The sequence below is a fragment of the Homo sapiens genome, chromosome 12 (assembly GCF_000001405.40).
Source record: "Homo sapiens chromosome 12, GRCh38.p14 Primary Assembly".
NCBI classification, from domain to species: Eukaryota; Metazoa; Chordata; class Mammalia; order Primates; family Hominidae; genus Homo; species Homo sapiens.
The window spans coordinates 50515631-50538647 of record NC_000012.12 but is presented as its reverse complement, the minus strand read 5'-3'; the positions used below and the strand labels follow the sequence as shown (position 1 = coordinate 50538647).

The window sequence follows — 23017 nt, the reverse complement described above, 5'->3', positions numbered from 1 at the left end:
TAGTAATATTATTACAAAAAAAAACTCAGGAAGAAAAGAGTACAAGAAATGGGTAAATTTCTCATGGTTCACAGAAGGGGATCAAGAGACACTGTTGACTGCAACATATTACTGAAAGTTACACTATTAACTACAGGAACTACAAAACTGACTTTAGAAAGTAGCTACATTTTGGGAAGTGGGACTGGGCACGGAGGTGGGGTGGGGCTATTTTCCATTTCATACTTCTGTGTCCACTCCAAATTCATGCTGACTATCGGCAATGCTTTCAGTGTTTCATTAATTCCTCTCACACTCCCCGATGGCTGATGCACTTGTTCTCTTCACATTTCTCAAACCCTTAAGCTTTCACCTTTCTGAACCTTTTCCCTTTATCCCCACACCAACCTCCCTCTGAGGTGGAATTTTTCACTCATCCTCTTCTTCTTATTAGAGAAGGAGAGAACAGCAGCCCTGCCCTCCTGTTCTCAAGCAGCTCACCTCTTCCACACATCCAGAGATCTAACCTATGCCCAGCTCTCCCACACCAACACAAGCTTTTCTTTCCTCTGTCTCTTTCCCTTAGCCCTATGAAGACTCCTCGGTATCTATTAAGAAGTAATAGTAAAGTAAAATAAATAAGTACTCTTTTGAATCCATCCTTGTTCTTTATTCCTTTTTCCCAACTTCAAAATAAGAAGCCTGCGCTCACCATTTCTATGTCCTCATTCCCGTTTTCAATCTAGCCTCTGATTCTGCCACAGGACTGTAACTGACAAATCCAGTCCTTTGTATTCTCTCACTGAATTATCCTAAGCTCTCCATAGGTTTAACATTACTATTTGTCTCCACAGAAGCACCACACCACCCACCCCAGTCCACCTCCTACTTCTGTGACTGATCACCCCTGTCATTTTGGATGACTCTTCTTTCTCCTCTAGCTTCCTAAACAGAGGCATTCCTCATTAGCTTCATTTTTTACTTTCCTTTTCAAAGATCTGATTCACCTGATGAATCACATGAAGATGATGCCCAAATCCTTCAACAGCTCCAGGATATAATTCACCACTTCTAACTGCCTATTGAACAGCCACTCGAATGTCCTCCCAATGCCATTTGTTGACTGGGATGGTCTTCCCACATTGTCATAGACTCCAACATGTCCAAAATTAAACTCTTCACCCCAAACCGGCAACTCAGATGTTTGTATATATAACACACTATCACTCGCCTGGTCACTCAAACTCAAAATCTGGGCCATTTTTTACTCAATCCCTACCTATTCCCTCACATCCTACCGATTTCCTTCCCTCAATGTTTCACAACAGGTAAGGTAAAAATGAATAAGACATGGTTTCTAGCCTCTGGGAAGAATAGAGAAGTGTAAACAAACAATTATAAAGCAATCTGGCAGGTGCAGTGGCTCTAGCCTATAATCCCAGCACTTTGGGAGGCCAAGGCAGGTGGATCGCTTGAGCTCAGGAATTCAAGACCAGCCTGGGAAACAAAGTGAGACCCTGTCTCTACAAAAAAAAAAAAAAAAAAAAAAAAAAATTAGAGAATAATAAACAAGCAATCTGGTAAGTGTGACCAAAAAAATTAAAAAAAAAAAAGCACAGGATAATGAGTTTGGGGGTAGGGGAGAAAGGAGATTAGGAGAAGGATTCAACAGGCTACAAGGTGTCAGAGTCAGAACTAAAGTCCTGTCCCCTAATCCTCACTAGGCCAAAACAACAGCACACACTCTGAATAATTAAGCATATGCCTTGCATTAAGACAGTTCAACATTAAAAAAAAAAAATACAATTATTGTGGCTCACACCTGTAATCCCAGCACTTTGGGAGGCCGAGGCAGGCAGATCACTTGAGGTCAGGAGTTCGAGACCAGCCTGGTCAACTTGGAGAAACACCGTCTCTACCAAAAAATACAAAAATTAGCTGGGCATGGTGGCATGCAACTGTAGTCCCAGCTACTCGAGAGGCTGAGGTGGGAGAATCGCTTGAACCCAGAAGAGGGAGGTTGCAGTGAGCCAAGACCACGCCACTGCACTCCAGCCAGGGTGACAAAGTGAGACCCTGTCTCAAAAAAAAAAACAAAACACAATTATTATTTGTCAATAAAATTTTAAAAAGAATATTCAACATGTAACTTTTGACTGAGTATAAATTAGGGAATGATGGTTCTCACTATACATGAATTGATTTTTTCTTCTTTCTTAAAGACATAGGGTCTCATTCTGTTGCCCAGGCTGTGGCATGATCATAGCTCACTGCTATGATCACTGCAGCCTTCCCTCCTGGGCTCAAGCAATCCTCCTGAGTAGCTTGGACTACAGGCTCACGCCACCATGCAGCCTGGCGTATGTATGTATGTATGTATGTATGTATGTATGTATGCACGTATTTAGTAGAAATAAGGTCTCACTTTGTTGCCTGGGATGGTCTCAAATTCCTGGGCTCTATACCCAAAGGACTATAAATCATGCTGCTATAAAGACACATGCACACGTATGTTTATCGCGGCACTATTCACAATAGCAAAGACTTGGAACCAACCCAAATGTCCAACAATGATAGACTGGATTAAGAAAATGTGGCACATATACACCATGGAATACTATGCAGCCATAAAAAATGATGAGTTCATGTCCTTTGTAGGGACATGGATGAAATTGGAAATCATCATTCTCAGTAAACTATCGCAAGAACAAAAAACCAAACACCCCATATTCTCACTCATAGGTGGGAAATGAACAATGAGAACACATGGACACAGGAAGGGGAACATCACACTCTGGGGACTGTTGTGGGGTGGGGGGAGGGGGGAGGCATAGCTTTAGGAGATATACCTAATGCTAAGTGACGAGTTAATGGGTGCAGCACACTAGCGTGGCACATGTATAGATATGTAACTAACCTGCACATTGTGCACATGTACCCTAAAACTTAAAGTATAATAATAATAAAATAAAATTTAAAAAAAAAAATTCCTGGGCTCGGCCAGACGTGGTGGTTCACATCTGTAATCCGAGCACTTTGGGAGACCGAGGCAGGAGGATCACTTGAGGTCAGGAGTTTGAGACCAGCCTGGCCAATATGGTGAAACGCCATCTCTACTAAAACAAAATACAAAAATTAGCCGGGCATGGTGGTGGGCGCCTGTGATGCCAGCTACTTGGCAGGCTGAGGGAGGAGAATTGCTTGAACCTGGCAGGCAGAGGTTACGGTAAGCCTCGATTGTGCCACTGCACTCCAGCCTGGGTGACAGCGAGACTCTGTTTCAAAAAAAAAAAAAAAAAATTTCCTGATTCCTGGGCTCAAGCAATCGTCCTGCCTTGGCCTCCCAAAGTGCTAGGATTACAGCTATAAGCTACCAGGCCTGGCCTGGATTTTCTTTAAAAAATAACTGCCCAGTTAATTTATTTTTTCTTCTTTTTGAGATAGGCTCACACTCTGTCTCACAGGCTGGAGTGCCGTGGCATAATCACTGCTCACTGCAGCCTTGACCTCCTGGGCTCAGGTGAGTCTCCCACCTTAGCATCCCGGGTAGCTGGGACTACAGGCATGCACCATCACACCCGGCTAATTTTTTAATATTGTTTTGTAGAGACAGGGCTTCACCATCTTGCCCAAGCTGGTCTCAAACTCCCGAGCTCAAATGACCCACCCACCTCAGCCTCCCAAAGTCCTGAGATTATAGAAGTGAGCTATCACGCCAGGCCCTGTTCCAGTGAATTTAAAATAGGATCTCCTTTTCATATACTTTGATAAACAGATCTAATCATAGGTCATCTCAGGAACTAAGAGCTAGGAAGAACTAGATTCTCTCATCTAGCCACTTCATCTCCCAAAGGATAGGAGAGGTTAAATGACTTGCCCAAGGTCACAAAGCTTATAAACAGAAGTGAAACCCAAACCCACAATCTTTTCCATGTTACCTCACTGTCTCTGACATTCTCCTAATCTCAGAATGCTGTCCAGTTGATTTCTCTAAAAACCAACTGAGGCCGGGCATGGTGGCTCACGCCTGTAATCCCAGCACTTTGGGAGGCCGAGGTGGGTGGATCAGCTGAGGTCAGGAGTTCAAGACCAGCCTGACCAACATGGCGAAACCCCATCTGTACAAAAATTAGCCGGGCGTGGTGGCTCATGCCTGTAATCCCAGCTACTCAGGAGGCTGAGGCAGAAGAATCACTTGAACCTGGGAGGTGGAGGTTGCAGTGAACCGAGATTGCGCTACTACACTCCAGTCTGGGCGACACAGTGAGACTCCGTCTCAAAAAAAAAAAAAAAAAAAAATGAAATGAGAATGTGTAAAAAGAGTCCAGTCATTGGGTTTCAAAAGTCTTGAAAGTGTTTTTTTAGACACACATACATAATATAAATTCCCAGAAAATAAGGATTTGGCTAAAACTTGGTTCTCCATGAAAATGAGAAATGAGTCCTCAGCCTGTTGATGCCAACTTGACCAGATGAATCTCTTGTCCCTGAGTTCCCCAAAATGCTGATAAAGTCATATTTTATTCCCCAGAATACATGCCTAATTGGAGTTCTAACTAGTTGACTAATGACTAAAAAATTTAGAATCATGGGGAATGAGTTAGAGTAAGGAGATGGCTTAGAAAAAAATGAATTCTAAGTATTGATGAATTCTAATTATGATAATACCAAGTTCCAACTATCATACCTCAAATCTCTGATTTCACCTTCTGTCACAGGGGGGAAAAAAGTTTCTCCCATCTCCAAAAAGTAACAGGTACTTTTTATAATATAAAGTTAGGCCCGGCTCAGTGGCTCACTCCTATAATCCCAGCACTTTGGGTGGCTGAAAGGCAGGCAGATCACTTGAGCCCAGGAGTTCAAGACCAGCCTAGGCAAAGTAGTGAGAATCTCTGTCTAAAAAAATTTAAAAATTAGCCAGCATGGTGCCCACTTGGGAGGCTGAGGCGGGAGGATTGCTTGAGCCCAAGAGGTAGAGGTTGCAGTGAGCTGTGATCACACCACGGCACTCCAGCCTAGGCAACAGAGCAAGATCCTGTCTCAAAAAAAAAAAAGGAAAAAAGTTGTCTTCCTTGATAGGGCAGTTAAAAAATGGTTAGAATCCACAACTTCCTGTAGGTGAAATCCCTTCTTACCCTTGGAATCTGCTCCCTTTCTGAAGGATCCTCTGCTCACTTTACAGAGAACACATGCAAACACACACAAAATGCAAAACAGCAACAGCCAAAACTCTAGTTCGACGCTACCCTCACCCTACACAACTTGTCAGGGGTTGACCTGCAGTAATGGCTGATAAGGCTGACAGCAAAAGAAAAACAATCATCTTGGTTGGGTTATTTAATTTCAACTGAAGACTAGAAGACTACAAGACTCATCCTTACTACTCTCCTCTCCCTTCCAGAAAGGTCATGAGAAATATGTAGTCTTGAATTTGATGAGACTGAAAACAGAGAATTCCAAAGCATGAGAACTTATTACTAAACAACTGCTAATTAAAACAAAATGGACACTTTAATATTCTTTAAATTAATTCTATGTAAAACCTGATGAGGTAAACAAATATGGTCATGTCTTGTTCTTTATGACTCACTGTGACTCTGTCACATCCTCCTTCTCACTACTACCTTTGCTGTTAAGCACACAAACCATTTTAGATAACAGCTTGTAAAAGTTGGGAAAGCAGTTTCCTGTCAAATGAATCAGAAATAGATCACTGAAAAACCAGCCCGGTGAGGGCCAGAGGAGTCACTAACAAAGAGTTACTCTAATTCACTCAAGGCTTAAGTTTCTCTGCGTTTTTTCTCACACAGGAAAGAGTAAGACTTATACACTGCCCTTTCTTCCCCCACTTCCCTGAGAGCCCAAGGACAGCGCCCTGCTCCTTCTAGAGGAAAGGGGGTTACCCACACTCCCTTCTCTCAGGTCAAACCACACCCTACATTCCCAGCTGAGACTAGAGACCTCTTGTCTCACCTACTCTTACTCATCTTCTCTGGCACATCCTCACCTCACCTACCTTTCATGTCACTGACCACAGTGACTTTCCACAGAAGCACAGCTGCTTAAATGCTGGTGGGTTTTTTTGTATGTCTTCACAATGCATGTTCCAAGGATACATATATTACACTCTTATTTTTATTTGTTTTTTGTTTTTTGAGACAGAATCTGGCTCTGTCGCCCAGGCTGGAGTGCTGTGGTGCGATCTGGCTCACTGCAGCCTTCACCTCCCAGATTCAAGCGATCCTCCCACCTCAGACTCCCAAGTAGCTGGGATTACAGGCGCATGCCACCACACCTGGCTAATTTTTGTATTTTTAGTAGACACGCGGTTTCACTATGCTGGCCAGACTGGTCTGGAACTCCTGACCTTAAATGATCTGCCTGCCTCAGCCTCCCAAAGTGCTGGGATTACAGGCATGAGCCACCGCACCCGGCCAACACTCTTATTTTTAACTCAGAGAATACTCATAAGGCCACTAGGCAAGAACTCCCTCAGCTTCCTCATCCATCACCTATGAGTATCTGCCTCTGCTCCCATCCTTTCCTTCTTCCCTTCTGTTTCAGCAGAAAAGGAGTCATTCCTGGCATCCTGAATGATCACTCCAGCAGCACTTAGGGTCTCAAGCTTTGCTGACTCAGGGAGACCTCGTTCCATCACATCTTTCTACTCTAGACTTTCAATTCCTCCTCCCCAAGACCTCTTACCCCTCCACCAACAAATGAACACACTCAAGTCTCTACCTTCTTAACATAATTCATTTGTTTGGCCATCAAATATTTGTTGAGTGCCTACTACAGGCCAGGAGCAATTTTTTACTCTGGAGATAAAGCAGTGAATAAAACTAAGTTCCTGCCCTCAGGCAACTTATTTTCTAGTGAGGAGAGAGACAAAGAACAGATGAATGTGTATATATCCTAGCTACTTCCTTTCTCTCCACCTCACACGGCCAGGCTTGAAACAGCAGGGTACCCCGCCTGCCTCTACTTCCACTTCCTCTCTGCTTTGCATTCCTTATCCACTTTCAACAGGCTGCAGTGCCCCTTCCTTGCCCCAACCCTGTCCCTAAACCCTACTAAAACAGCTTAGGCAAAGGTCACCACCAATGACCTCTGCTTGTAATCTCAATTGCATTTTCTCAGTCCTAGTCTCAAACTCTATGCAACAAGAGACACTTAATACTCCTTGTTGTTTTGCTCTTCTCCCTCTGGTCACTCATACCCCTCTGACCTCTTTTCCAGGTTCTTTTTTTCAGCTTCCCCCTTAAATGGTGGTGCTTTCCAGTTCTGTGTTTAGCCTCTGCTCACTCAATATGCTCTCCTTGGCTGGGTGCAGCGGCTCACACCTATAATCCCAGCACTCTGGGAGGCCGAGGTGGGCGGATCACAAGGTCAGGAGATCGAGACCATCCTGGCTAACATGGTGAAACCCCATCTCTACTAAAAATACAAAAAAAAATTAGCCAGGCGTGGTGACAGGCATCTGTAGTCCCAGCTACTCGGGAGGCTGAGGCAGGAGAATGGCGTGAACCCAGAAGTCAGAACTTGTAGTGAGCTGAGATTGCGCCACCGCACTCCAGCCTGGGCGACAGAGCGAGACTCCATCTCAACATATATAATATGCTCTCCTTGGACAATCTCAATCATGCCCACTGCTTCCACTATCAGCGATACATGCTAAGGAATACTGAATGTATATCTTCAGGACAGGCCTTTCTACAGAACTCCAAATCCACACACCCAACTGCTGCTACAGATCTCCATTTGCATGTCCCCAAAACCTCTCAAATTCAGTAAAACTGAATTTTCTCTCCCCCTACACCCTAAACTGTTCTTCTGCCTCTATTCCCTGTTTTAGGAAATGGTGCCATCTTTCTCTCAAGATGCCTAAGGAAGAAACTTACCAGTCCGCCTTTCTCCTATCACACCTACAAATCTCTGTGCACACCTCCTCCTCCTCCATACTAGTCTCGTAAATTCTCCCTGCTTAAATACTTCTTTTCATTCCCTCTTCCCTAATCCTACTGCAGAGACAGCTCATTTCAGTAGCCTCCTGTAAGTCTTCCTGCCCTGTCTTACCTGCTCTTATTTAAGGCTATTTTGCACTTTTTCTATGTAAATAGTATCACTTGGTTGTGTGACACAGCAACCTGAAACTATTCTCCTCTAAGGCGATCTCCAACAAACACAGATGTCATCCACTCCTGCTTACAATACTTCAGTGGCTTCCCATGAATGCTCTTCCCAAAGATGCTATATGATGCTCTTTCCCCTGAAGAAAGTGATGGAGGAGGCAGGGCACAGTGGCTCACGCCTGTAATCCCAGCACTTTGGGAGGCTGAGGCGGGCAGATCATGAGGTCAGGAGATTGAGACCATCCTGGCTAACACAGTGAAACCCCGTCTCTACTAAAAATACAAAAACAAAATTAGCCAGGCGTGATGGCGGGTGCCTGTAGTCCCAGCTCCTCGGGAGGCTGAAGCGGGAGAATGGCATGAACCCAGGAGGCGGAGCTTGCAGTGAGCCGAGATCGCGCCACCGCACTCCAGCCTGGGCGACAGAGAGAGACCCTGTCTCAAAAAAAATGAAAGTGATGGAGGAATGGAAGGCCCAGAAGAGGCACAGCCTGAAGAAGCCAGCCACTAGAGAACAATGCATTATTTTTTAATGTTAAAATTTATGTTTGATCTTAATTTTCAATTCATGCTTTACTATAGCAATAATTTCCCGTGAAATTCAATTTAATGGATATTCTAAGAAGGCACGCTATGTTTACCCTGTAGCTTTTTTTCTTTTTTCTTTTTTCTTTTTTTGAGACAGAGGCTCGCTCTGTCACCCAGGCTGGAGTACAATGGCATGATCTCGGCTCACTGCAATCTCTGCCTCCCGGGGTCAAGCGAGTCTCCTGCCTTGGCCACCTGAGTAGTTGGGATTACAGGCACACGCCACCACACCCGGCTACTTTTTGGATTGTAGCTCTGAGTACCCCTGGAACATCAATACAAATCCCCATTGGGAAGCAAAGACCTACAGGATAAAATGTAAGATTCTATGGGTGTGGCCACAAGGCACAACCCACCCCTGCCATGCTGTCAGCCCTAACCACTGTCCTGGCTCACTGGACTTACATTCCATGTTCTAGCAGTGACTAAATCATCACAGTTCCTCAAACACGCTTCAATGATTGACAAATCTAAAGCAGCCTCCTCCCCTCATCTGTCAGCCCACCAAACTCCTTTGGTCCATTGGACAGTCCTTCCCAGAATACTACATGTACACTAATGCCCTGCACCTAAGCACCTTCAAGTACTTGAACATGTCTCCCTTATGACATTTATTATGCAATAAAGATACTGTTTACAGTTTTTGTTTGTTTGTTTGAGACAGGGTCTTACTCTGTCGTACAGGCAAGAGTTGCAATGGTGCCATCACAGCTCCCGGAGCCTCCATCTCCCTGAGTTCAGGTATCTTCCCACCTCAGCCTCCTGAGTAACTGGGACTATTTTGGGACTACAGGCGCATGCCACCACACCTGACTAGTTGTTTACAGTATCCTATCTTCCCCCAAAATAACTATAAGAAAGTACTGCCATGTCCTGCCCCTCCTAACCACAGTAAAACTCACTAAAAGTTGTTTTGTTTTGTTTTTGAAACTTACCCATTTCCTCCAAATCACTCCTTAACCCATTATAATCTCTGGCTTCTGATCCTCACACCACAGCATTAAAACCACTCTCACCAAGTTCATAATCACAAATCATTTTGTGGCTAAACCTAACAAATCCACCTTAATGCTTAACCATTCTTTTGTTTGCAGCAATATTTGATCATTCTCTCTTGTCTTCCTGGCCCCCAACTCTCCTGACATCCCTTCTCTAGATTTCTTGCTAAACCTCCAGCCATGTCTTTGCAGTCGCCTCTGCAAGCTTTCTTTTCCTCTGTCCATGTTAGCATTTCTTAGGATTCTATCAGAAATACTCTTCTCTGTTCACTCTAAGCCCTCTTTCCTGGGTGAACTCATCTATTCTCATGGCTTAAACTATCATCCTGCTTTAGATAAAGCTGGAAAACACATTTGGGTCCATATGCCCAGTTTAGATACTCTGTTCACTAATCACAACTTCTGCATGGATGGACGTTTGGAAATATAAAATAGCACAGCAGCATAATAGACTTATACTGCTTCCTGTGTGCCAGACACTATACTAATCACTATACTTTTCCTTTTTTTTTTTTGGAAAGCAGGTCTCATTATGTTGCCCAGGCTGGTCTTGAACTCCTGGCCTTAAGAAATCCTGCCGCCTCAGCCTCCCAAAGTATACTTTTATATAGTAACTGATTCAGTGCTCACATCAATCCTACAACGTAGATACTATTATCATCTTCATTTTATGGATGAGGACACTGAGACACTAAATCTGACTACCAAAAAAAAAAAAAAGAAGGGTCAGGCACAGTGGCTCACGTCTATAATCCCAACACTTTGGAAGGCTGAGGTGGGCAGATTGCTTGAGTCCAAGAGTTCAAGACCAGCCTGGACAACATGGTGAAAGTCCATCTCCACAAAAAATTTAAACCTAGCTGGGCATGGTGGTGCATGCTTGTAGTCTCAGCTACCTGGGAGGCTAAGGCAGATGGATCACCTGAGCCTGGGAGGTCAAGGCTGCAGTGAGCCGTGATTACACTACTGTACTCCAGCCTGGGTGACAGACTAAGACTCTGTCTCCAAAAAAAAAAAAAACAGAAGGAATTTCCATCTCTAATGAAAAGCACTTTTTTCCACAACTGAAATTGTAAGAAAAAGAAGATAAATCAAATTCAGGATTCTGAACAAATACACTTCTGACAATGGTGATTTTCTGTTAATTAACATTTTAATCATTTTAATCATGTTTTAACACTTAATAATTATTTTAATCATGTTTCTTCCAATTTGTACTGAAAAAGGATAATCTTTTCTTTAAGATGTGGTCTTGCTCTTTCGCCCAGCCTAGAGTGTAGTGGCACGATCATAGTTCACTGCAGCCTCAACTCCAAAGCAGATGAGACTACAGGTGCACATCACCATAACCACCTAGGGACAGAGTCTCACTATCTTGAACTCCTGGCCTCAAGCAATCCTCCCGCCTCGGCCTCCCAAAGTGCTGTCGGCCAAGGATAATCTTAGTTATTAAGATGTTTCACAAGTTTTATCTCTCAGCCATAAAGACAAACCTGAAGTTCACAATATAATAAGTAAATAAGATTTTTGTTATTTTCCTATGTGCAAAATTACAATTAATTTAGTGTTTGAACAGTACCTTAGATATAGGTAGTCAAAGAGACCTGAGATAACGTGGGTAGGACCTAAGAGACAAATACTCTGTGTGTACAGTTGGACATGTTATGCACAGCCCATGAACGTCCTTGGTAGTTGGCCACACTGTTTGCATAAACTAGAATAAACTGACCAAAGGTCTGACTTGGTTCAACAAAACCAATATTTGCCATATGGCTAATTATTTCACTTCCATGGTTTTCCAACATTTTGCCAAAGATGGAATGTAGCCAAGAAAAGACGTTGAAAAACCAGGCATGTGAAATATTCAGTTTTTTTCCAACCAGGACCCATTAAACCAAAACAAAACTGATTTTGGTTTTATTACAATGTCTGGTCTACAGAAAAACCCACCTAATTAACTTATGCTTTAGATCAGATCCTACGGATATTACATTTGGTTAAGACAGAGGAAAAAAGGCCGGGTGCAGTGGCTCACGCCTGTAATCCCAGCACTTTGGGGGACCGGGGTAGTCGTATTACCTGAGGCCAGGAGTTTGGGACCAACCTGGCCAACATGGTGAAACCCTGTCTCTACTAAAAATACAAAAAGTAGCCAAGCGTGGTGGCACAGGCCTGTAATCTCAGCTACTGGTGAGGCTGAGGCAGGAAATCGCTTGAACCCGGGAGGCAGAGGTTGCAGTGAGCCGAGATCGCGCCATTGCACTCCAGCCTGGGCAACAAGAGTGAAACTCTGTCTCAAAAAAAAAAAAAAAAAAAAAAAAAAAGGCAGAGGAAAAAGAGAATCAATGCATGTGCAAAGTACACAAAAAAATGAGAAGTGTCTGCCTCCTGTTCAGGGAGCACAGTGGCGTGGCTCCAGCTCTCACCCAAGCACTGTCCCAGGCTTGGAGCTGTGTATTCTGAAAGTATTTGCATAATAAATACCAAATGAATTGGATAAGCAAAGTAGTCAGGCAGACTGAAGAAACGGAAAGTTGTCACATATCACCCAACTGTAAAAGTCAAGTGTAAAAATCAGAGGGTATATAGTGAGGAAAATAAGGGAAAAACAAACAAGCAAACATTAAAAACCAAATGCCAGGAAACACATAGGCCCCTGAGGGGCAGCTCTCACCAGCTTCCACAGGGGTCCCCATCCTTCCTGGCAGAGACCCTGGGGACAGAGCCTACACTTCTTTACTCTTTAAAGCTGCCACCATCTAAAGAATTCCATTGGAATCTTCTCCCTGCAAAGTCCATTTGTTCACTGAACAAGTGTCTATTGAGTCTTCTATTCTAGGCACTAGAGAGACAGCAGGGAACAAGACAGTAAAATCTCTGCACTCAAAAAACAAACATTTTACTGAGGAAGAATCCAATCATATTAATATATGAACAAGATCATTTCAAATGTTGGTATTAATTAGAAAATTTTAAACAGGAAAAAAAGAAAGTAAAAGAGAGTGGTGAGATGAAGAATGATGGGAGGGGTTGCTAATTTAACCTTGGAGGTTCTCTAAGGAGGTTAACTTTGAACTGAGACTAAGTTGGAGCAGAACATTCTAGGAAGAAGAAAAGCAAGGAACAAGACATAGAGGTGGCCAGGCATGGTGGTTCACACCTGCAACCCCGGCACTTTGGGAGGCCAAGGTGGGAGGATGGCTTGAGCCCAGGAGTTCAAGACAAGTCTGGGCAACAGAGTGAGATCCTGTAGCTACAAAATATAAAAAAATTAGCAAGGTGTGATAGTGCAAACCTATAGTCTCAGCTACTAGGGAGGCTGAGGTGGGAGGATCTCTTGAGCCTGGGAGGTCAAGGCTGCAGTGAGCTCCATGTACACCACTGCACTCCAGCCTGGATGAGAGAGTGAGACTCTGTCTCAAAAAAAAAAAAAAAAAGGGGACCTAGAGGCAGCAACATGCATCACGGTTGAGTTCAAGGAAGAAAAGAAATGCCTATTTTGTTCAAAGTATCATCTCATGATGACCACCCTCTTTTAAATTGTGCCCAATAACCCTCTACCGGTATTCTCTGTATTTTTTTTTTTTTTTTTTGAGATGGAGTCTCGCTCTGTCGCCCAGGCTGGAGTGCAGTGGCCCGCTTTCGGCTCACTGCAAGCTCCGCCTCCCGGGTTCACGCCATTCTCCTGCCTCAGCCTTCCAAGTAGCTGGGACTACAGGCGCCCAACACCACACCCAGCTAATTTTTTTGTATTTTTAGTAGAGATGGGGTTTCACCATGTTAGCCAGGATGGTCTCAATCTCCTGACCTCGTGATCTGCCCGCCTCGGCCTCCCAAAGTGCTGGGATTACAGGTGTGAGCCACCGTGCCCAGCCTTCTCTGTCCCTCTTGATGCTTTTTCTCCATTGAAATTTTTACCAAATGGCCAGGCACAGAGGCTCACACCTGTAATCCCAACACTCTGCAGGGCACCAAGGCAAGAGGATTGCTCGAGCCCAAGAATTTGAGACTAGCCTGGGAAACATGGCAAGACCCTGTATCTACAAAAAATAAAAATTAGGCGGGCATGGTGGCACAGGCCTGGAGTCCTAGCTACTCAGCAGGCTGAGGGGGAGGATCTCTTGAGCCCAGGAAGAGGAAGCTGCAGTTGAGCCATGATCACACCACTACACTCCAACCTGTCTCAAAAAAAATAACAATAAATTTTTACCATCTAACAAGCAATACATATTACTTGTTATTCTCTGTCTACAGCTACAGATGTAAGCCCCCTAAGGGGAGGGGTGTTTGTCATGTTAATCACTGCTGTATCACCTGCACCTATGTGGCACATAGTAGGCACTCAATAAACACCAGATAAATTAAAAAAAGGAAGAGGGAAGCGGGAGGATGGAGGGAGGCAGGGAGACAGGTGGAGAGGAGAGGGAAGAATAGGGAAGGAGAGAAGGGAGGAAGGAAAAGAGAAAGAAGAGTCAGCCAATGTGGCTGAAGCACAATGGGTGAGGGGAAAAGATGAGGGGTCAGGGCGGTGTAGGTCTTGCAGGCCATGGAAACGTATCTGAATTATATTTTAAAGACAAACTGAATTCATGGAAGAGCTATAAAGCGGGGAAGTAATATGACCTAATTTGCAGTTTAAAAAGCTCTCTACCTGCTATGTGGAAAATGGGTTAGAGAGAAGAAAGCTGGGACACCACCAGGTAAGGAGCTAAAGAAGCAAGAGATGTGATGACATGGGCATGATTAACAGTGACTCGGCATGGAAAGAAGTAGATTTAGAATATATTCTCAAGGTAGTACCAAAAAGGCTCACTGATGGACTTGATACAGAGAGGTGGCCTGAAGGAGAGGAATCAAGGATGTGTTATCAATTTATGGCCTTTCAGCTCCAAATATACCCTCGCTGCTCTGTGAAAACTGAGATGGGCCCTTTAAATATTTTTCCTTTGACAGCTGCCATGATGTTAAACTTTGCCTGTCCATAGAGGGCACTGGAAAGACATTGCAGGAAGAGGCTTTTCTTTCTAGCTCCAGTGTACTCCTCCTGACAGGATAAACAGAATATCAACAAGTTCTCTATTCTGATGTCCTATGGAGTCCTAGTAAATTTATTTTAAAATATTTTATAATTTGAGGAAATTGGGAAGACAACTGAACTAAGCTAATACAACTTGTATGTTTTCACACGTAATTGTTTTCCTATATATATAAGAATTTGGGCATAGTATTCTGTCCATTCATCCTGTTTTAAAGCTAATACCATACTGCTTTGAATACAGTAACTTTAGAATCTGTTTTAATATGTGGTAAGGCCAAGTATCACCTCACTATTCCGTTTCTAAATTTTCTTGGCTATTCTATTTATTCTTCCATGTGAACACTAAGATCATTTTATCTAATTCTCCATTCCCTAAAGAATCTTCCATTGGAGTTCTAATTGGACTCCCATTAAATTTATATATATCAGTCTTCTCATTCAGGAACACAGTACAGTTGGCCCGTCCATATCTTTGGGTTCCACATCCATGGATTAAACAAACCTCTAAGTGAAAATAGGTGGAGGAAAAAAAGCCATCTGTACTGAACATGTACAGATTTTTTTTTTCCTGTCATCACTCTCTGAATTATAAAGAATAACAACTATTGACATAGTATTTTCACTGTATTAGGTACTATACAAGTATATAAGTAATCTAGAGTTGATTTAAACAAGAGGATGTGCTTACGTTACATGCAAATACCATGCCATTTTTTAGCAGACTTGAGCACCCTTGGATTTTGGTAACTGAGGGGAGTCCCGGAACCAATCCCCTACGAAGAAAGGAACAACTGTATATATTTCCATTTTTTCAGATTCTGCTTTTATATCTTTAAAGTTTTACAATTTTCTTCATACAGATCTTATGTCTTTCTTACAATATTTAAGTATTGTATAATTTTTCTCTTTTTCCCAAATATATTCCAGGAAATATTTTATAATTTTTAACACTTTTATAAATAAAATATTTTTCTCCTCACCAATGCAGTTAATTCCCATTCTTCCCCTGCCAATATCCCAGTGACATCAAATAATGCTTTTACTTACCACCTATCCACCACATTACCCTGTCCAACATCTGAGTTCTGCTGAAATCACTGGGAATGTTTCTTTCAGACGACTAGGTTTTCTCTTGCAATATGTTTCTTCTGGATTCTTACTTAGCATTTATATCACACATTCCTTGTCATTCTCAATATATACTATGTATATACAAGCAGGACCTGAAGTAACCTTATTTTACTCAATGTTATGTTATAAAGAGGCTGAAAAGAAAAACAAAAAAATCAATTCCCAGCCAGGGCCACTATCTGTGTGGCGTTTGCACGTTCTCCCCATGTCTGTGTAGGTTTTCTCCAGGTACTCTAGTTTCCCCCATACCCCAAAGATGCATCCATTAGGTGAACTGGCACATTTAATTGTCCCAGTCTAAGTGAGTGTGTGTATGTATGTGTGCGCCCTGCAATGGAAAGTCCTTTCCAGGGCTGGTTCCCGTCTTGTACCCTGAGCTGCTGGGATAGGTTCCTGCCTTCCCAGACCCTGAACTGGAATAACCAGATAAATAATTATCCTGTTGTTTTTATTAATCTTTCTTTCCATTTTTCAAAAATGTGGCCGGGTGTGGTGGCTCACACCTGTAATTCCAGCACTTTGGGAGGCCAAGGCGTGTGGATCACTTGAGGTCAGGAGCTCGAGACTAGCCTGATCAATATGGTAAAACCCCGTCTCTACCAAAAATATAAAAATTAGCTGGGTGTGGTGGCACATACCTGTAATCCCAGCTACTCAGCGGGCTGAGGCAGGGGAATCACTTGAACCCCGGACACGGAGGTTGCAGTGAGCCAAGATTGTGCCACTGCACTCCAGTCTGGGTGACAGAGCAAGACTCTATCTTAAAAAAATAATAATAAAATATACAATAATAAAATAAAAAATAAAAAATAAAATAAATTAAATAAAAAATGTTTGGGGGCTGGGCGTGGTGGCTCATGCCTGTAATCTCAACACTCTGGGAGGCCAAGGCAGGTGAATCCTTGAGCCCAGGAGTTCAAGAAGCCTGGGCAACATAGCAAAACCCTATCTCTACAAAAAATACAAAAATTAAGCCAGGCACAGTGACTCACACCTGTAATCCCAACACTTTGGGAGGCCAAGGGCGGAGGGGCGGTTGGAGTGGATCACTTGAGGTCAGGAGTTCAAGACCAGCCTGGCTAACACGGAGAAACCCCGTCTCTACTGAAAATACAAAAATTAGCTGGGCGTGATGGTGACAGGTGCCTGTAATTCTAGCTACTCAGGAGGCTGAGGCACAAGAATCACTTGAACCTGGGAGATGGAGGTTGCAGTGAGCTGAGATGGGGCCACTGCACTCTAGCCTGGCAACAGAGTGTGAGACTCCATCTCAAAAAAAAAAAAAAAAAAAAGAAAGAAACCTGAAGTCTAACTGAGAAGGTAAAAATAACATAAATGAAACAAACAGTGGCAAATTAAGAGTTAAAACTGTTGCTGAGCTGGGCACAGTGGCTCATGCCTATAATCCCAGCACTTTGGGAGGCTGAGGCGGGTGGATCACGAGGTCAAGAGTTCAAGACCAGCTTGACCAACATGGTGAAACCCCCTCTCTACTAAAAATACAAAAATTAGCAGGGTGTGGGGGTGTGCGCCTGTAATCTCAGCTACTCAGGAGGCTGAGGCAGGAGAATCGATTAAACCCGGGAGGCAGAGGTTGCAGTGACCTGACATCGCGCCACTGTACTCCAGCCTGGGCGACAGAGGGAGACTCCATCTCAAATTAAAAAAAAAAAAAAAAAAAAAAAAACTGTTGCTGAATATAACAATAGTCTAAAAATAGAAGAGATTAATATGGACTAAAGCAGTCAGCAGGTTTCATGATGAGAGGAACGTCAACCAGGCCTTGAAACAAGGGTTGGATTTTAATAGGAGAAAAAGCAGTCCTGACAGGGAAAATACTCGCTACAAATGCAGAGACAGGAATGAGCTTGCCAAGAAAGAGTGAGGAAACCCATATGATTGTAATAGAAGAGTGTCAGATACTAGTAAGAAAAAAGGTAGATAGGGAGGCTGATGGCAGAATCTAGATTCATTCACTAGCTGAACCGAAAAGCATTTTCACTAAAGAACACTGCATGCTGTCCTCATGCAGCTTACTTAGGGGAGATGAGAATATTTATGCAAATAATAATTTCCTAACTTTAAGATAATTTTAAAAATAGCTATGATATAGGGGTAACATTAGAAATCAGAGCTCAGAGAACCGACAAATGGAGAAGTTGTTTTTTTAACAGGATGTTCATTTTCTAGTACTTCTCTTGGTCTTCTTGAAGAAAAACAAGCAAAGAACTATGGAAGGAAAACTCATACCACTGCTTGTTCTACATGTTCAACTTAAAAATGAAAGTTTCTCCAAACCAGAGAGGAAGTCAAATAAATCATGAATGACTTTTTAAAATTTTAAGACAGTGTCTTTGCCTTTGTCACAGATTTACTAAACAAGAACTATCAGAAGCTTCTACCTAACAATTCCTTGCTGGGTTGATTTTTTTTAAAAGGAGATTCAGGCCGGGTACGGTGGCTCACGCCTGTAGTCCCCGCACTTTGGAAGGCCGAGGCGGGCAGATCACGAGGTCACGAGTTTGAGACCAGCCTGGCCAACACGGTGAAACCCTGTCTCCACTAAAAATACAAAAATTAGCTGAGCATGGTGGTGCACACCTGTAGTCTCAGCTACTGGGGAGGCTGAGGCAGGACAATGGCTTGAACCCAGGAGGCGGAGGCTGCAGTGAGCCGAGATCATGTCACTGCACTCCAGCCTGGGTGACAAGTAAGACATTGTCTCAAAAAAAAAAAAAAAAAAAAAGGAGATTCAATGACAAGACTGGTCAGCACTATAAAATTTATTCATATCTGAACTGAATTAAAAGCCATAAGTTCTGGCCCATGATTAACTTACAACAATATGATCTTAAATTCTTAGAAAGAAAAAGAAAAAAAAATCTTGCAGATGCTTTAATGTATGCCTAAAAGCAACAGTCCTCCAAAAATAAAGGGTATTAGAGCACTATTTCTTCACCACAAAAAAAAAAACCTCCAAGAAAAACCAATTAAAGTACATGTCATTCACAGAAGCATCTATGTTCATTTATACATTAATTTTTACATTAAACATTAAATATCCTGGGGGAAAAAAGACTAAAAACTCTTTCTGCATCACCATGTAAGTACAACCCAGAATCAATAACCCAGAAGCTCGAGGCCTGTTCACAACACAGACCTTTCAAAGATGCTAGGCTAGACCTGTGAATTTTCATTTAGGGCTGTCCCATGTAGCATCCAAAATATTATCATCCTGGGTTTCCCCTTTCAGCTTCTCATCATCTCCATCTCAATTCAAGGAAGAAAAAGTAACTTCACAACAAAAGACAAGTACATAAAATTACCTTTCACTTTATAGATGCACTTCATATTTTTCATTCTTTTAAAAAAAATAAAAGAGGCTCAGCATAGTGGCTCATGCCTGTAATCCCAACACTTTGGGAGGCCAAGGAGGGAGGATCGCTTGAGCCCAGGAGTTTAAGGCGAACCTGGGCAATACAGTGAGACCCCATCTCTAAAAAAATTTTAAGAAATAAGAAAAGAAATAAAAGTCACATCTTGCCAGTAGTTATACTGGTATGAAGGAAACCCTCCAAATATAATCTACAGAGTGTTAACCCCTTTAGTTCCTGCAAAGCATGGTAAGAAATAACAAATTACACCCCTATACCTTTTTCTCTGAGAATAAGATAGAACATTCCCATTCTTCTCCCTCCAGGGAGCCCTACCCCCCAAAAAAATAAACGCAGAAGCTGTGGCCAGATGCAGTGGTTCATGCCTGTAATCCCAGAACTTTGGGCAGCCAAGGCAGGAGGACTGCTTGAGCCCGGGAGTTCAAGACCAGCCTGGGCAGCAACAAAGTGAGACCCCTGTCTCTACAAAAAATAAAAAATTAGCCAGGCATGGTGACATGGACCTGTAATCCCAGCTACTTGGAGGATTGCTTGTGTACAGAAGTTTGAGGTTGCAGTGAGCTAAGATCATGCCACAGCACTCTAGCTTAGGGGACAGACCAAGACCTTGTCTCAAAAAAACAAACAAAAACAAACAAAAAAAGACAGAAGTTGTATCCTAAGGAAAATGAGACATACCAGTTAAGATGCAGGAGAATTCTGCTGAAACTACTTGAAACAAGATTCAGGGAGATGGAGGTCAAAATGGCTGTGTGGAAACACCACAGGGCTTAGAACCAAACAGACTTGGTTTCCAATCCCAGCACACTGTACAGAAACTGCACACCTATCTCTAGGAGTTGTTAAGATTAGAAACACATTTCAAAGACTTGCCCAAGGGCCGGGCGTTGTGGCTCACGCCTGTAATCCCAGTACTTTGGGAGGCCGGGGTGGGCGATCACTTGAGGTCAGCCTGGCCAACATGGTGAAAGTCCATCTCTACTAAAATACAAAAATTAGCCGGGCATGGTAGCGGGTGCCTGTAATCCCAGCTACTCGGGAGGCTGAAGAAGCAGAATCGCTTGAACCCAGGGGGCGGAGCTTGCAGCGAGCTGAGGTCGCACTATTGCACTCCAGCCTGGGCAATAAGAGAGAGATTCTGTCTCAAAAAAAAAAAAAAAAAAGTTGCCCAAGACCATATGTGAACCCAATTCAGCATGACTCCTAAATTCAGTGCTCCTTCCCAGTGCCATGCGTCCAGAATGCTACCTTATGGGAAATGTGTAACCACAGGTGGGAAGATACATTGTATGCAATGTTTAGGTGCTTTTTGCTACCTCAGTTCCCTCATCATCATTATGCTAATAGGAGCTATGTATTCAGCACCTACTTACTAGCCAGGCAAGGTATATGAAGTGCTAAGCACAGGACCTATTACATCATAAGCTCTCAATAACTGATGACTACTTATACAGAGATTTAACTTCTTAAAAGAGCTTAGAAAAGGAAACTGGAACGAAACAGAAGTTAACTGGAAACTCACAGGAAACTGAAACAGAAGTTAACCGGGCAAAAAAAGGGGAAGAACATACCAGAGTGGACATTTTAGAGAATGGCAATGTATACAAAAGCATACAAGTGAAAAAAAGCACAGTGCATTCATGGAAGTGCAAGTCATCTGGCATGGCTAGAGAGCAGACAACAAATATAGACAGAGCAGGAAATGAGGGTAAAAAGGCAGGCAGGTCTTGGTATACAAAGAAAGATGCTTAGAGTTTATCCTGTGACTGAGAGAAGCCAAGGAAAACTTTTAAACAGGGAAGAGAACACAATTAGGTTTGTGTTTCAGAATGATCAATCAGTGACAGGGTAGAGAAAGACCTACTGAAGGGAGAAGAGACCGAGACAGGCTGATGAGTTAGGAGACTACCTCATTAGTCTAAGCAAGAAATAAGTGCCTGAACTAACACTGGAATGATATGGAGAACAGGAAGTAGAAACAACAAGACTCAGTGATCCATTAGAATATGGATCACTGGGCAAGGTGGCTCACACCTGTAATCTCAGCACTTTGGGAGGTCAAGACGGGTGGATCACCTTAGCCCAGGAGTGAGATCAGCCTGGGAAACAATGCAAAACCCCATCTCTATTTAATTTAAAAAAAAAAATCTAATTAAAACAAATTTTTTGGTCGGGTGCGGTGGCTCACGCCTGTAATCCCAGCACTTTGGGAGGCCAAGGCAGGTGGATCACGAGGTCAGAAGATCGAGACCATCCTGGCTAACACGGTGAAACCCCATCTCTACTAAAAAAATACAAAAAAATTAGCCGGGCGTGGTGGCGGGCACCTGTAGTCCCAGCTACTCAGGAGGCTAAGGCAGGAGAATGGCGTGAACCCGGGAGGCGGATTTTGAGACAGAGTCTTGCTCTGTCGCCCAGGCTGGAGTGCAGTGGCACGATCTTGGCTCACTGTGATCCCTGCTCACTGCAACCTCCGTCTCCTGGGCTCAAGCAATTCTCCTAACTCAGCCTAGCCTCCTGAGTAGCTGGGATTACAGGCACCCGCCACCACACCCAGCTAATTTTTGCATTTTTAGTACTGATAGGGTTTCGCCATGTTGGCCAGGCTGGTCTCGAACTCCTGACCTCAGGTGATCCGCCCACCTTGGCCTCCCAAAGTGCTGGGATTATAAGCATGAGCCACCGTGTCCGGCCAAAACAAAATATTTTTAGAATATAAGGATGACTCTCAATTTTTTTGACTTTGGTAAGTTACTATGGTCTGAATGTCAGTGTCCCCCAAAAATTCCTATGTTGGAACTTAATTCCCAATGTGATAGTATTAAGAGATGGGGTCCAGGCACAGTGGCTCACAGTCATAATCTCTGCACTTTGGGAGGCCAAGGTGGGAGTATCATTCATGGCCAGGGGTTTGAGACCAGTCTGGGAAACATAACGAGACCCCATCTCTACAAAAAATAAAAAATCAGCCAGGTGTGGTGGCACACGCCTGTAATCCCAGCTACTTGGGAGGCTGAGGTGGGAGGATCGCTTAAGCCCAGGAATCCAAGGCTACTGTGAGCTATGATCTCGCCACTGCACTCCAGCCTTGGTGACGAGCAAGACTCTCTCGATATAGAGATAGAGATAGAGATAGAGATAGAGAGAGAGAGAGAGAGAGAGAGAGAGAGAGATGGTGCCTCTAGGAGGTGATTAGGTCATGAAAGAGGAGTGCTCATGAACAGGCTTAGTGCCCTTATAAAACAAGCTTGAGGGAGCCTGTTTGCCCCTCCCACCATGTGAAGATGCAACAAGAAGGTGCCATCTTTGAAGTAGACAGCAGGCTCTCATCAGACAATAAATCTTCTGACTTCTTGATCTATGACTTCCTAGCTTCCAAACTGTGAGCAATAAATTTCTATCATTTATAATTTACCAAGTCTAAGGTATTTTGTCATAGCAGCAGAAATGGATGGAGATAGTAAGTGGACATTCTGAAATACAGTTATCTGTGAAGCAGGGAGGTGGGGGCAGGGGTGGAGGAGGAAGTTGAAACAGAGTTGTTTTAGACTTACCAAGTTAGCATGGGGGAACCAATGGAATGTCTAGAGCAGAGGCAAGTCAGGGCTACAGATACAGACTAGGGAACCACGTGCACAGCCATGACAGCTGAAGCCCTGGGCACAGATAAGATTACTTATCTCTGTATGTAAAGTGAGGTGAAGAACAGACACAAATCTGAGGAATACCCTCATCAGGAGAAAGAAAGAGTAGAAG

The 23017-nt window shown here is 43.3% G+C and overlaps 1 protein-coding gene across 1 annotated transcript in view, besides 7 other annotated features; it reads right to left on the bottom strand.

Moving 5' to 3' along the window:
* The window catches only part of DIP2B (disco interacting protein 2 homolog B), a 243673-nt gene that overhangs the window by 210010 nt on the left and 10646 nt on the right, over nt 1-23017 (bottom strand). The window lies entirely within an intron of this gene.
* Nucleotides 5637-5706: an enhancer, noted in NCBI's record as "active region_6357". NCBI's record gives its function as "activates an Ori minimal core promoter by ATAC-STARR-seq in GM12878 lymphoblastoid cells {active_cell/tissue: GM12878}" and the evidence as "EXISTENCE:reporter gene assay evidence [ECO:0000049][PMID:35858748]".
* Nucleotides 7916-8416: an enhancer, noted in NCBI's record as "H3K4me1 hESC enhancer chr12:50924015-50924515 (GRCh37/hg19 assembly coordinates)". NCBI's record gives its function as "activates a minimal SCP1, AML or CMV promoter by ChIP-STARR-seq in naive H9 embryonic stem cells {active_cell/tissue: H9 hESC(naive)}" and the evidence as "EXISTENCE:reporter gene assay evidence [ECO:0000049][PMID:30033119]".
* Nucleotides 8417-8917: an enhancer, noted in NCBI's record as "H3K4me1 hESC enhancer chr12:50923514-50924014 (GRCh37/hg19 assembly coordinates)". NCBI's record gives its function as "activates a minimal SCP1, AML or CMV promoter by ChIP-STARR-seq in naive H9 embryonic stem cells {active_cell/tissue: H9 hESC(naive)}" and the evidence as "EXISTENCE:reporter gene assay evidence [ECO:0000049][PMID:30033119]".
* Nucleotides 20607-20896: an enhancer, noted in NCBI's record as "active region_6356". NCBI's record gives its function as "activates an Ori minimal core promoter by ATAC-STARR-seq in GM12878 lymphoblastoid cells {active_cell/tissue: GM12878}" and the evidence as "EXISTENCE:reporter gene assay evidence [ECO:0000049][PMID:35858748]".
* Nucleotides 20957-21046: an enhancer, noted in NCBI's record as "active region_6355". NCBI's record gives its function as "activates an Ori minimal core promoter by ATAC-STARR-seq in GM12878 lymphoblastoid cells {active_cell/tissue: GM12878}" and the evidence as "EXISTENCE:reporter gene assay evidence [ECO:0000049][PMID:35858748]".
* Nucleotides 21067-21116: an enhancer, noted in NCBI's record as "active region_6354". NCBI's record gives its function as "activates an Ori minimal core promoter by ATAC-STARR-seq in GM12878 lymphoblastoid cells {active_cell/tissue: GM12878}" and the evidence as "EXISTENCE:reporter gene assay evidence [ECO:0000049][PMID:35858748]".
* Nucleotides 22839-22888: a silencer, noted in NCBI's record as "silent region_4453". NCBI's record gives its function as "represses an Ori minimal core promoter by ATAC-STARR-seq in GM12878 lymphoblastoid cells {active_cell/tissue: GM12878}" and the evidence as "EXISTENCE:reporter gene assay evidence [ECO:0000049][PMID:35858748]".